Below are 14,655 nucleotides of genomic sequence, written 5' to 3' on the forward strand. Positions count from 1 at the left end.
TATTAAATTCAAACTTAATTTTAAGTTTGTGCATGTTATGATTGTTTATAGATACATTTTCTTTTAGTGCATTTTCAGGTCCCGGGAAAGTACTATGTGGTAATTTATTGCTTCATTTTGTAGTACTGCATAGCACCCATCTTACGATAAGACAAAAGCAGGGAGACTTGGACCTATTGGACTTTATTTAAACTTTTAATTTTTGCTTTTTTTTCCCTTCTTTCCTCTCAATATTTACCTCTTCAATAGATTTGGTACCTACAGGTGTTATGTAGAACAGTTCATGATTTCTAGTAGCTTTCATTCTAAAAGTTATTAATATAATTTACTTGACTAATCAACATTATGTATACAACATTATTTTAAGAGTTAACCACTTTAATTTACAGAACGACAACTTACTCTGGAGGTTGAGAGGATGAGACTAGAACATGGAATAAAACGTCGAGACAGGTCACCTTCTCGTTTAGATACATTTCTGAAAGGTATAGAAGAAGAACGAGATTATTATAAGAAAGAGCTAGAGAGACTCCAACATATAATACAGCGAAGATCTTGCTCTACAAGTTATAGCGCACGTGAAAAAAGTTCAATATTTAGAACACCAGAAAAGGTAATGTCCCTTTATAAGAGTAGGCCAGAAAGTATCTTTATGAATAAATTTTTCTGGTTTATTATTATATTAAATGTAACTTTATTCGTACTTGCTTTGAAAAATCCTGATTTTGATTCTTGTTTTCTTTTATGGCCTGCACTATAGGAACACTACATTAATTAGGAAAATTACTTAAGAACAAACTATAACATATAGATGACTGGAAATTAAAGGAAAGGTTGAATAGCTGAGTTGTAGAAGTGCAGTGGCACCTGGCCTTCCAGTACTCATATTGTTGGACATTCCCTCTCTTTTTAGAATTTACTTTCTGTATCAGCTGCATTTTCTCTCTCATAGCAGAGTGGCTTTGTATGCATGGCAGGCAACATGGTTTCATGTCATTTCCAGCCTTGGACCAGTTAGGAAGGTGTGTCACATTCTACTGACCAAGCATCTTCTCTATTAACCGTACTATGGGAGATAGATAGAAATGGCAAGTGAGTGCTGGGGAGATTGTTTTGTTTGTCCACTACAACCATATTTGTAAGTTGATGATCCAAAGATGTTCTCTCTATGTTATTTTCTAATTGCATCTCCCAATGTGTGTATTATTTAAAGTTGACCATGATTCATGAGAGATTAAAATCATGTGTCTCTATTTTAGGTCTTAATTATTTTTAGTGTTTTATGAGTATCATTTGAGTTCTTCAGATTTTTCTTCTTTTAAGCTTTGGAGTTCAGGAGTCTTGAAGGCTTATGTGACATTACTTTATCTACACACTAGGTAAAATTAGGGGAAATCTGGGAGTGTAGAGTACTCATTAAAACTCAAAACATTTGATTTCAGACTTGGCCGAATTTACTAATTTTGTCATGTTTTTCCTGAAGATCTTGTGTCCATTGTCAAACAGTTTTGTCTTCTGATTAGACTTCATTTTTTAACCTCATAGGCTAATGGCTGAATTTTGATTTACTGTTGTCAGTGTAAGCACTATACTATGTTATCTATTATAAGAATAAGGCCAGGTGGTGTGGCTCCTGTAATTCCAGCACTTTGGGAGGCCAAGGCGGGAGGATCACTTGAGGCCAGGAGTTCGAGACCAGTCTGGTCAACACAGTGAGATGCCATCTCTACAAAAGAAAAATTAAAAAATTAGCTGAGCATAGTGGCATGCACCTCTCGTACCACCTACTAGGAAGGCTGAGGCAAGGGGATTGCTTGAGCCCAGGAGTTCGAGGCTGCAGTGAGCCATGATCTCGTCACTGCATTCCAGCCTGGGTGACAAAAAAAAAAAAAAGAAAGAAAGAAAGAAAGAAAAAGAATGAATTGGTGGGAAAATGCAGTACAGGTTATTAATAATTTATGTTGCTGAGTTTTTTTTAAATTCCGTATATACTTAGGACTCAGGAAAAATAAGTGACTGAATTGATCATTTTTATTGTATAGAGGAATCTCCCACAAAATGATTGATCAGTTTAATTAAGTTTCAAATACCAAGGAGATAAATATCTCAGAGCTTTTAACCAAAATATTTGATCCATTTGCTCTGTGCTGGATTCACAATTGAAAGACAAATGTGTGAGACATATTGGTAAGGCACTAGTAAAATTAAGTGAAACTTTTCTCCCCTTCAACTTATTTACATTCTTGAAGTTATAATGGTACCTGGCATAGACAAAGAATTTATTTTCTAGAGTTCAGAAAGCCAGGATGTTCAGAGCATTTTAGAGGCCCAATAATAAAGTGCAGGCATGAAAGAGGATAGTAGGTAAGTACCTGAATGAAATGGGTGGGGTATAAGACAGTTGTGAGTGCTGGGAACTAGGAAGTGCATTCCCCACCTAAAATTAGCTATTTTATTTTACTTTATTTATTGAGACAGGATATGGCTCTGTCACCCAGGCTGGAGTGCAGTGGCATGATCTTGTCTCACAGCAACATCTGCCTACTGGGCTCAAGCCATTTTCACACCTTAGCGTACTGAGTAGCTGGGACTATAGGCATGTGCTACCATGCCTGGCTTTTTTTTTTTTTGTTTTTTGTATTTTTTGTAGAGATAGGGTTTTTCCATGTTGCCCAGGCTGGTTTCAAACACCTGATCTCAAGTGATCTGCCTGCCTTGGCCTCCCAAAGTGCTGGGATTACAGACGTGAGCCATGGTGGCCGCCCTAGAATTAGCTGTTTTAAACATGTTCAGGAGCACTTGTTGGTAAACCACAAAGATCATTCTACAGCTGGATTTGGTACTAGCTGTGTTTTCAACCCCTGCTTTATGGCAGACTGTTAGGCACAGTGTTGGGATTGTAATAACTCAGAAAAAAATTGACATTTTTTAATATCAATTCTCTATTCCCTGTGTAGGGTGGGTACTATCCTCCTCACCTTGTATTCACCCTGGTTCCCACTGTGAGTTTTGAGTATGGTGTAGGCAGAAGTGCTTTGCAATTGGAGCCTAACACAAGTTCCAACTCCACAAACTGGCTTTATGATGTTGGAGAAGTTACCTAACTTCATGGAACCCTGTTTTCCTCATTTGCAGAGTGGGGAAAGTGACTACAACTTCTTGTGAAGATTAAATGAGCTAATTTGTCAGTTTTATTTTTAATTGACAAATAATATGTATATTTATAGAGTATAGTTGGATGTTTTGATCTATGTATACATTATAGAAAGATTCAGTCAAACCAATTAACATGTCTGTTTCCTCACCAACTTATTTTTTTGTGGTGAGAATGTTAAAAATCTATTCTTTTAGCAATTTTGAAGTATACAATAGTTATTATTAACTGGTAACCATGCAACACAATAGCTCATTAAAACATTCCTCCAGACTAACTGAAACTATGCCCTTTGATCATGAAATAATTTGTGTAAGGACCCAGCGTAACATCTAGTTACCGGTGAATGGTTTATTTCCTTATTATTTGCTGGTTCAAAGCACATCAGTTCTGGTAGAAAGCTAGGGTCAGTTCAGAAGATAAATACTGAGTGCCTGCTCTGAATGAGGCATAGAATACAGAGATGAAGACAGTTCCTGCCCTTACAGCCTTCAGCATTGCGCATGTGTGTGCATGTGCATGTGTGTGTTTAGGGGACAGTGGAGTAGTGAAAGGGCGTTATTCACAATTATACATTAACACTAACAAATATGTACAACAGATATATTTAAAGAAGAGTAGAGTTTCTGCTTAGGGAAGTCAGTCAGTAAATGTTCAGGGAACTCATGTTTTACTGGGTAAACTCATGTTTTACTGGGTACCATACTAGACACTGAAGATGTAATGAAAAAGACCAGGTTCCTACTGTGGCCCTCATGGAGCTTAAATTTTAGTAGTACAGATACACATTAAATGCACAATCATGTACATAACCTTATAACCTCATTTATAATGTGTTTATGAAGAAAGTACAGAAAATATTCAAAATACTATAAGAGTATATAGAAGGAGATCTAAATTAGATTGAAAAATCTGAAAGAATTCCTTGGAGAAAGTGACATTTAAGCTGACACCTAAACAGTAATAAAAATAGATTGTCAAATCTTTGTTTATTGAGCCCTCCTTTTCTAGAATCTGTACAGACTGCCTCTTTCTGGAAGATTATTTTGTTTTTCTTTGGGAGAAAGTCTCACTCTGTCCCTCAGGCTGGAGTGCAGTAGTGCGATCATAGCTCACTGTAACCTTGAACTCCTGGGCTGAAGTAATCCTCTTCCCTCAGCCTCCCAAGTAGCTAGGACTACAAGTGTGCACCACTATGCCTGGCTAATTTTTTAATTTTTTGCAGAGGCAGGTCTTGCTCTTTTGCCCGGGCTGGTCATGAATTCCTGGCCTCAAGCAGTCCTCCTGCCTTGGCCTCCCAGAGTGCTAGGATTACAAACATGAACCACCACACCTGGCCCAGACTTTTTAAATTTAGATATGGTTAGATTACATAGCTTCTTTTATAGTTACATTGGTTAAGTCCCAAAACACTAATCTGCTTTTGTACTATAAAATATCTTGTCCTTTAAAGAGTTCGGATAACTAATCCCATCCATCATGCCTCGGTTTTGCTTATTTAACCAAGAGATTAATTATTTCCAAGTGCAGGTGAGAGGTACCTCACAGATATCTATCATTTACCAAATCTACATTGTATGTGGTATTGGCATAACAGATGTTACATAGTATAGGCCAGGTCTCTTTTCAGTGTATCATATTATCAAATTATCCCTTCTTGGCACTTCTGCATTTAGTGCTTGTAACATTAAGATACCATAGATCCCAAGTCTACATTTGTTATTTTTCTTTTTTTTTAATAGGAAAAAGGCATACAAATTTATTTACATGTGCATGGGGAGAATCAGAGTGCTCTCATCTTTATTTTCTACCATAGTGATGAAGACAGTGAATCTTTTGAATTGTACTAAATTGTAGGCATCTTTTAAATTGCACTAAATTGTAGAAATGTTGGAAGTAGTTGCTTATTCAGTGAATATTCTTAATATATACTGCCTGGTAGAAATATTTGCATTTATTTGACTGTATAAAAAGACCTCCTGTAGGTCTGAAGCTGAGACAGTTGGGGGTTGGTATGCCTGGCGTATTGATCTTAGATTCAATCATAGAAAACACTGAGAAATGTGCTAGGCTGTTACAGTTACCTGTACTGGGCGAGCAGGCACACAAGTACCCTGCTGGCCCCTTCTCTGGAGAAGATAAACTAACTAGTGGCTCTAAAAAATTACCAGGCATCAGAATCACTTAGAGGGCTTGATAAAATACAGTTACTTGGCCCTACCCGGAAGTTTCTTGACTGAGTAGGTCTGGGTTGGGCTTCAAACTCCAAAATTTGCATGTCTGACAAGCTTTTAGATACTGCTAATGCTTCTGGTCTGGGGATTATACTTCAAGTACCACGAGTATGAACAACTTTGGGAGAATAAAAGTTGAAACATCTCATGGGATCTGATCAAGTCACATCATTGGCAGCTAAGTCTCTTCTGGGAACTTGAAGGCCAGGAAATTTGCCCTGGTACTGCCAGTGCTCTCATCTGCTCTCATCATAGATTTTTAAAACTGTGTTCCTTAATTACGTTAAAGGCACTTGTGTTCTTTTTGTCTGGTAGCATCTTTCAGTCAATCTCATCATCAGTATCCTTGTGACAACCATGTGGTGATGATTATATTTTGTTTTTTAATTATGTTTCAGGGTGATTACAATTCAGAAATTCATCAGATCACAAGAGAAAGAGATGAACTTCAGCGTATGCTAGAAAGATTTGAAAAATATATGGAAGATATACAGTCCAATGTTAAATTATTGACAGCAGAAAGAGATAAACTAAGTGTCTTATATAATGAAGTAAGAAATGTATTATAATTAAGCCAATAGATTGTATAGAACCAGTTAACTATAATGGAGCCTGTATATATCTTTCACATTACTATAATATATGGACCTGTGATATTTCTTCATAATTAAAATTATCAGTAGTAGTTTCTACTATCATTCTGTTTCTAAAACACAAATTTCTCTTATTTTTTCATATTTATTCTTTCCCTTTTCTAGCCTATCTATGTGTCAGATCAGTTAGAGATAGTCTTCTTTTTCTAAAACTACCTGAAGCAGGTCTCAGCCTGACTCTGAGCCAAATTTATGCTTGGAATTCAGACGTAGGGAAATGTCTATCAAAACAGTGGGTAGCACCCACTATTTGGATATATTGGCTATTTAGGACTTAGTCTCTAAATACTGTACTCTAGGAAGAGGGAATTGGTATTCAGCTTGGCCCCATTAACAAATCCTCAGTTGTTAGAGGGCAAGGTAAGTCTGAGCAAAGCATGGTGTCTGTCACCTAAATTTGTTCACATACCCATCTCCCATGAAATCCTACTGCTATTTTGAGAAGGGGAAGAGGCATGCAAGTTAAAGGTCACGTTGAAAGAGTCACTTAATGAGTTTTTTGGGGGGAATTCTGCAGTGTAAATTGATCCACTTCTGGGCTTTCCCCATTGCTAGCTTAGATTTCAGCTTTCTTGGGTCTGCCTAGTTACTTCCTGCTTGTCTGTCTGCTGTCTAGTTTCCAACATTTTGTGGCTGGTGCCTCCCTCAATCCCCTTGTCTTTTTTGTTTTATTATTCTTACTATTTTAATCTTTTGTTGGGATTTGCGAAGAGAGTGACGGTAGCATGTGTTCAGTATGCCTTTTTTAACTGGAAACATATCCAAAGTATTTTTTATTTATATCTTTTACTAAAGTGCCTTTTTAATTTATATCTTTTCATTCTTTAAGGCTCAGGAAGAATTATCTGCCCTAAGAAAGGAATCCACCCAAACCACAGCACCCCATAATATTGTTAGTCTTATGGAAAAGGAAAAAGAACTTGCGTTATCTGACTTAAGAAGAATTATGGCAGAAAAGGAAGCTTTAAGAGAAAAATTAGAGGTAAGAAGATTGACATGTTTTTGAAAGGTAATTTGTTGAGAAAAAGAGGTCTTTGTATATACATTTTCCTGTGAAGTTACTATTGGCCAAATCCAGACCACTTTGTTTATGTATGGCCTGTGAGCTAAGAATGGATTAAGAAGAATATTTCATTGTTGATAAAATGTTATTGGATTACCTTGCTTATTTGTTTATGTATTATCTTTAGCTTCTTTTGTAGTATGACCTACAAAACCTAAAATATTTACTGTTTTTTTACAGAAAAAGTTTGCCAATCCCTGAACTTAAGCAGAAGTTTCTCATATGGGAAGACAGTATCTTTGTTTGTTTGTTTGTTTTTGTAACAGCTTTACAGAGATATTCACATACCATACAATTCACCCACTTAAAGTATACCATTTCATTGGTTTTAGCATAGATGCTCTTTGACTTACAATGGGATTACATTCCAATAAACCCATCATAAGTAAAAAATGTAAGTCGGAAAAAATGCATTTAATACCCCAGTAAACCCATTGTAAAGTCTTATATTGAAAAATCTTAAGCCATTGTTGAGTCCACAGGCTCCTCAACTTATACTGGGGTTACCTCCTGATAAACCCATAACAAAGTCAAAAATGTAAACCAGGGACTATCTGTATATTCATAGGCTTGTTCAACCATCACACAGTCAATTTTAGAGCATTTTCATCACCACAAAAAGAAACTCTGAAGCACATTAGCGTCACTCCCCATTTCTCCCATCCCCTCTTAGCCACAGGCAGCCACCTGTGTCTCTATAGATCTTCCTGCTCTGGATATTTCATATAAATTGAATCACTCGATATGTGATTTTTAAATGTCTGACTTCTCTCATTAGCATAATGTTTTCGAGATTCATCCATAATGTTGCTAGGAACTTGTATACAACTTTTTGTCTGGATATATATTTTCATTTCTCTTGGGTATATTCCTGGTCATATGGTAAGTCTGTGTTTAACCATTGAAGCCAAGCTGTTTTTATTCCCACCAGTAGTGAATAAAAGTTCTAATTTCTCCACACTCTCACCATTACTTGGTACTATCTGCCTTTTGTATTATAGTCATTCTGGTGGGTGTGAAATGTCTCCATTGTGGCTTTGATTTGCATTGCCTTGAGGCTAATGAGGTTGAGCATCTTTTCATATTCTTATTGGCCATTTTTATATCCTTTTTTAGAGAAACATCTGTTCAGATTCGTTGCCGATTTTTAAATTGGGTTGTCTCATTATTAAGTTGTAAGAGTTCTTTATATATTCTACATACAGCCCCTTATTAGATATGTGATTTGCAAATACTTTCCCCCATTCTGTGGGTCATTTTTTCACTTTCTCAGTGATGTCTTTGAAAAACAAAATTTTTTAATTTGGATAAAGTCCAATTTAGTTATTTTTTTCTTTAGTTGCTTGTACATTTGGTGCCATATCTAGGGTCAGTACTTTATAATTTCTTTTATAATCTCCAAAAATATAAGTATATTAATACATATAAAGCACTTAACAATGATTAGCACATTGTAAGTACTAAATCCTAATATTATGGAGTCCATAGTTTATTTGCAATCAGTATTATTGAATTAATGCTTTGAAAGTAGCAGCTAAAATTAGAAATAAAAACATTTAAACATTATAAGCATAGTCTTTATGTCACAATGTTCAGTTGAAGTTTCACCCTAAATATAACAGTTTAAGAATACTTTTAATTGGAATCTTTTGGAATACTGCTTTCCAGAAAGTGTTTTCTTATAAAAATAAGTGTTAAAATTGCCAAATGGGAAACTTCTGTGCAGTATGGCAGCTTTTAGCACAAGCTACTGACTTATCCTTTTCCATATCTTTTGAAATGACCCAAGAATGTAAAAATAGGATTTTTTAAATGCAGTAGTACTGAAAACTTGGAAAAAGCAACATTTGTATTATCAGAATCCTTCTGGGTTGTAGGAGGCAGGATTTTGTGAGTTTACAACAGATCTTTTACTTAAAAGTGTAACTAATCTCAATCCTTAAACCTTTTCCAGAGTTTCCCATTATTCCACTATCTAACCAGTTGTCAAATCCAAGCATCATCCATCACTAAGATCTCCCTGAAAGCTCATATCTCTCAATCACCAGGTCCTATCAGTGCTATCTCTTGAAAAATATTTAACATGTATTAAGCCCTTCCCATGTGAGAGGCTCTGTTCTATTAAGTGCTTTTTACATGGGTTGTCTCAGTGAATCTTCAAATCTTCACAATAGCCTCTTTTTTTTTTTTTGAGGGGCAGTCCCGCTCACTGCAACCTCCGCCTCTCAAGTTCAAGCGATTTAGTAGAGACAGGGTTTCATCATATTGGCCAGCTGGTCTCAAACCCCTGACCTCAGGTGGGGTCCACCTTGGCCTCCCAAAGTGCTAGAATTATAGGCATGAGCCACCATGCCCGACCTGTAATAGCCTTTTTTAATAGGTACTGCTTACAGATGATGTCTCCGAGTTACAGTGAGTTTAAATAACTTGCCCAAGGTCATCCAGCTATGAGTTACAAGGAATCTGGCTTCTGAGCTCACATTACTTTGTCTTGAATTTGTTTACTTCTTTCTGTTCCCCTGCTACCATCCTGTTCTGGTCATTGTTCTCCCTCACCTGCATTATTGTATTATTGGCCCCTGTACTAGCCTTACCTCTCTTAAATCGATATTTCACACTGAAGTCAGAGTTATCTTTCAGAGATATAAATCTGATCATATCACTTCCTATTTAAAATCCATTAACTGTTTTCGAGGACTTCAGTGATTGGCCTTTGCCTACCTGAAGGTCTAGCCTCTTTCCTCTAAACTCATCTCCCCTGTTCACAAGACTCCAGGCTTAATGGACTTTTTCTTGCCACCAGCCTTCTACATAGACTATTGAAAGATTCCTTCACATCTTCCACTCTTCTTGTCTAGCTGATTCCTATTTATCTTTAAGTCCAGGCCAAACATCATGTCTTTTGATGGGAAATGAACCCTAGAATCTAGATTCCCTTTTGATATTTTGGCATAAAGTTCCTTTTCCTAGCAGAATATTCATGGATTTTATTTTGAGCTCTTATTTAGGTTTTGTCTTTTCTACTAAGCTACAGTAGCTATGCTGTCAGAGACTTCATCCGCTTTACTCACTACTATATTCTTGAGACCTTGCTTGGTGCTTGGTATAGAGTATGTACTCAATACTAGTTGAGCAATTAAATAAATACATACAATACAGTGACCCTTTCAACCAAATGTGTAATCTGAACATCAGATGTGTCTGTTTCTTTTTTAATGAATAACAAGGATGGAAATGAATCCATGCTAGAAAAACTCTCAGTGAACACCAAGTTATATTGCTTATCCTAGACTTAGCAGCAGTAAGTTGGATAAAGTAATGTAACCAGAAAAATAGTCCCTGTGTTTATACTGTTGACCAGCCCCTTATTGAAACTCGCATCTCTTGCATGGCCTTGTAGTATTGTGTTTCCTGTGTCTTTCTGATCTTGTCTTCCTTTGCATTTTGTTTCTCTTACATCTCCTCTTATGAGGGCATACTCCTGAGCTTTTTATTTAACCTGCTGGTTTTGTCCTTTTATAGTTGTGCTATTATGGATTAATCTGTATAAATCTTTATAAATGAATCCTTACTAATCTATGTCTTCTACTACAATCACACATGGAGGTAGAGAGTGTAAAAGATGAGAACGTATTGTGCCTTTTTTAAACCAAAAACATCATTTTTGTAAAATGTCTAATGATTTTCTTTCTAAAACATTTCTGTGTTTTATGAAAGGACAAATACAATATAATAGAACTGTAGACTTACATTGCTTACTGTGGTGATTTTGTTTTGTTATCTGATACAAATGAACATTTTCTTTAACATTCTTTTTCAGCATATTGAAGAAGTGAGTCTTTTTGGAAAATCAGAATTAGAGAAAACTATTGAACATTTGACATGTGTTAATCATCAGGTAATGTATCAAACTGGATTTGGGGTATCTTGTGTTATATGAATAACTATGTCAATTACAGTTTTAATACACTATTTTTTAATTTTAATTTTATTTTTATTTTTATTTATTTTTTGAGATGGAGTCTCGCTCTGTTGCCCCGGTTGGAGTACAGTGGCACAATCTCAGCTCACTGCAACCTCCAACTCCAGCTTCAAGCGATTCTCCTGCCTCAGCCTCCTGAGTAGCTGTAACTACAGTTGCGTGCCACCATGCCCGGCTAATTTTTTTTGTATTTTTAGTAGAGACGGGGTTTCACCATGTTGGCCAGGCTGGTCTCAAACTCCTGACCTGACATCGTGATCTGCCCACCTCGGCCTCCCAAAGTGCTGGGATTACAGCATGAGCCACCACGCCTGGCCTAATACACTGTTTTATACAATTACAATTACAATAGCTGGGCATGGTGGTGCACACCTGTAGTCCCAGCTGCTTGGGAGGCTGAGGTGGGAGGATCACTGGACCCCAAGAATTAGAGGCTGCAGTGAGCCATGATGACACCACTGCACTCCAGCCTGGGCAACAGAGCAAGACTACAACTCCAAAAAAAATCACAAAATAGTATACTAGAAAAGCTGTATAACAGCAGTTAGGAGTGTGTACTCTGAAGGCTGATTACTTGGGTTCAGATCCATCTTTGCCTCCTATTACCTGCAGGCAAGTTGCTTGACCTTTCTGTTCCCTGATTTCTTTATTCGTAAGTAAGAATAGTGCTAGTACTTACTCCTTAGGGTTTTTGTGAAAATTAAATGAGTTAATACATATAAAGAACTTAGAAGCGTGCCTGGCATATTGTAAGCTCTTAGTAGGTATTAGCTATGATTATTGTTGTTTTGCTGTTATAAAAAAATCATATAGGCCAGGCATAGTGGCTCATGCCTATAATCCCAACACTTTGGGAGGCCAAGGTGAGGCAGGTGGATCAGTTGAGCCCAAGATTTTGAGACCAGCCTGGGTAAGATAGTGATACCCCATCTCTACAAAAAATTTACAAATTGGCCAGGCATGGTGGCATGCACCTGTGGTGCCAGCTACTTGGGAGGCTGAAGTAAGAGGATCACTGGAACCTGGGAGTTCAAGGCTGTAGTGAGCTGTGATCACACCACTGCACTCCAGTCTGGGTGACAGAGCAAGACCCTGTCTCCAAAAAAAGAAAAAAAAAATTATACAGAGGTAGAGTAAAAAGAGAAATTCACTTCCATTCTTTATTACTCTCTCTGGAGATAGGATTTTTAACAATTTGGTATGTTTCTGTTTTTATAATTTCAACTTTTATTTTAGATTCAGGGGTACATGTACAGTTTGTTATATGGGTATACTGTGTGATGCTGAGATTTGGGGTACAATTGATCCCATCACCCAGGTAGTGAGCATAGTACCCAATAGTTTGTCAACCTTTGATGTGTTTTGTTTTGGCTGGCTTCTATTACTATGCCTTCACTGTTTTAATATATTTGCCTTCTAATTCTGTCATCTGAGTTGGTTGAAGTGTCACCTCATCATGGATTATATTTTCCTGTATCTTTATGTGCCTGGTAATTTAATTTTAGGTTGGATGCCAGACATTGTGAATCTTACCTTCTTGGTTGCTAGATAGTTTGTATTACTATGAAATACTGTTGAGGTTTGTTCTGGGATGCAGTTAAATTATATGGAAGTAGCCTGATCCTTTTCAGTCTTGCCGTTAAGCTTTGTTAGGTGGGATCAAAGTAGCCTTTAGTCTTGGAGTAATTTTTTTTCACTACTGAGATAAAACCCTTTTGAGTACGCTACCTGTTGTCCTATGAATTATGAGATTTTCAAATGACTGATGGGCACAGGAACTTTTCCTGGCCCTGCATGAGCTCTGAGTATTGTTCCCTCTAATTTGTTCGTGGTTCTTTCCCTGGCCTTGGGTAGTTTACTCTGTGCTGAGCTCTACTCAGCCGAAAACTTAAAGGGTACCCTTTATAGATCTGTGGAGCTCTCACTCTTTGCACCTCTCCTCTAATACCTGTCCTGCAAACTTTAGCTGCCTTGGCCTTCTTTGACTGTCATGCCTGTCTTCTGAACTTGGGGCAGACCACTGGGTTCCATATCGGTTCCTTTCCCTGTGTCACAGTTTGGAAATTCTCCAGGCAATAAGTTGGAGCAAATGTAAAGCTCATCACATTTGTTTCCTGTCTCTCAGGGGTCACCGGTCATCATTGCCTGGTGCCTATTGTCCTGAAAACCATAGTTTCACATATCTAATCCAACTTTTTAGTTATTTCAGGCGGAAGAGTAAATCTGGTCTCTATCACTCCAGCTTGACCAGAAGCTAAAAGCAGTAATATTAATTACTGGAAAATGTATCTGAAGAAAGTACTAGAAGTCATTGGAAAGAAACAAAGAAATAAGAAAATATTTTAAAAGTTAAAATGTTGGAGAATAGCCTGAGAAGATCTAATATTCAGACTAATATTTAGTTAGGACTCAAGGAGGACATAATAGAATGTGGGAGAGAGAGTATTTGAAGAGATAATGATTGATGATTTTCTAGATATGAAAACACAGGAACCCCCTGATTCAAAATGAATTCCAAAAGCATGACAAATCCCAAGCAAGATAAATAAAAAGAAAATGCATACAATTTTAGTAGTCATGAATAATACAATTTACCTATGGATAAATTTACAGAATCTTTATAGGAAACATTATGCAACCATATTGAAAGTCATTAAAGAAAGCCTAAATAAGTGGAGGATTATATCAGGTTTATAAAAAAGGTATAAAAATAACATAAATTTTCCCCAACTTGATCTATAGAGTTGAGGTAGCTGTAGCTGAAATCCCAATAAGAGTGTGGGGGGCGGGGGGTGAGGGGGAAGAATTGACAATAGATCTTAAAATTTACTTGAAAGCAAAAAGCCAAGAATCACATAGAAGTTTTAAAGAAGAACATGGTGCTAGACTTGTCCTCCCAGATGTGAAGCCTTTAGAGTCATAGTAATACATAATAGGCTGGGCATGATGGCTTACGCTTGTAATCCTAGCTCTTTGGGAGTCAGAGGCAGGAGGATCACTTGAGGTTAGCAGTTCAAGACCAGCCTGGCCAACATGGTCAAACTCCATCTCTACTAAAAATACGAAAATTTGCCAGGTGAGGTGGCACGCGCCTGTAGTCCCAGCTACTTGGGAGGCAGAGGCAGGAGAATCACTTGAACCCAGGAGGTAGAGGTTGCAGTGAACTGAGATCATGCCACTGCACTTCAGCCTGGGTGACAGAGCAAGACTCCGTCTCAGAAAAAAAAAAAAATGGCTGGGCGTGGTGGCTCACGCCTGTAATCCCAGCACTTTGGGTGGCTGAGGCAGGCGAATCATGAGGTCAGGAGATCGAGACCATCCTGGCTAACACGGTGAAACCCCGTCTCTACTAAAAAAAAAATACAAAAATTAGCCGGGCGTGGTGGCGGGCGCATGTAGTCCCAGCTACTCGGGAGGCTGAGGCAGGAGAATGGCATGAACCTAGGATGCCGAGCTTGCAGTGAGCCGAGCCGAGATCACGCCACTGCACTCCAGCCTGGGAGACAGAGCAAGACTCCGTCTCGAAAAAAAAAAAAAACATAATAAAACAACAGGGATTGGGAGAGACT

At 37.5% G+C, this 14,655-nt stretch overlaps 1 protein-coding gene across 4 annotated transcripts in view; it reads left to right on the forward strand.

Annotated features, from left to right (window-relative positions):
• Window positions 1–14,655, forward strand: part of CEP135 (centrosomal protein 135) — an 84,417-nt gene that overhangs the window by 25,412 nt on the left and 44,350 nt on the right. For 3 of the 4 annotated variants that reach the window (NM_025009.5, XM_006714055.4, XM_005265788.5), the window contains 4 exons: window positions 390–613; window positions 5,787–5,939; window positions 6,871–7,023; window positions 10,925–11,002. In NM_025009.5, the coding sequence (NP_079285.2) occupies window positions 390–613; window positions 5,787–5,939; window positions 6,871–7,023; window positions 10,925–11,002 (608 nt within the window). The remainder of the gene's footprint in view (window positions 1–389; window positions 614–5,786; window positions 5,940–6,870; window positions 7,024–10,924; window positions 11,003–14,655) is intronic. The other variant, XM_011534412.2, reaches the window with a different exon arrangement.

This window comes from Homo sapiens, chromosome 4 (genome assembly GCF_000001405.40).
Source record: "Homo sapiens chromosome 4, GRCh38.p14 Primary Assembly".
NCBI lineage: Eukaryota > Metazoa > Chordata > Mammalia > Primates > Hominidae > Homo > Homo sapiens.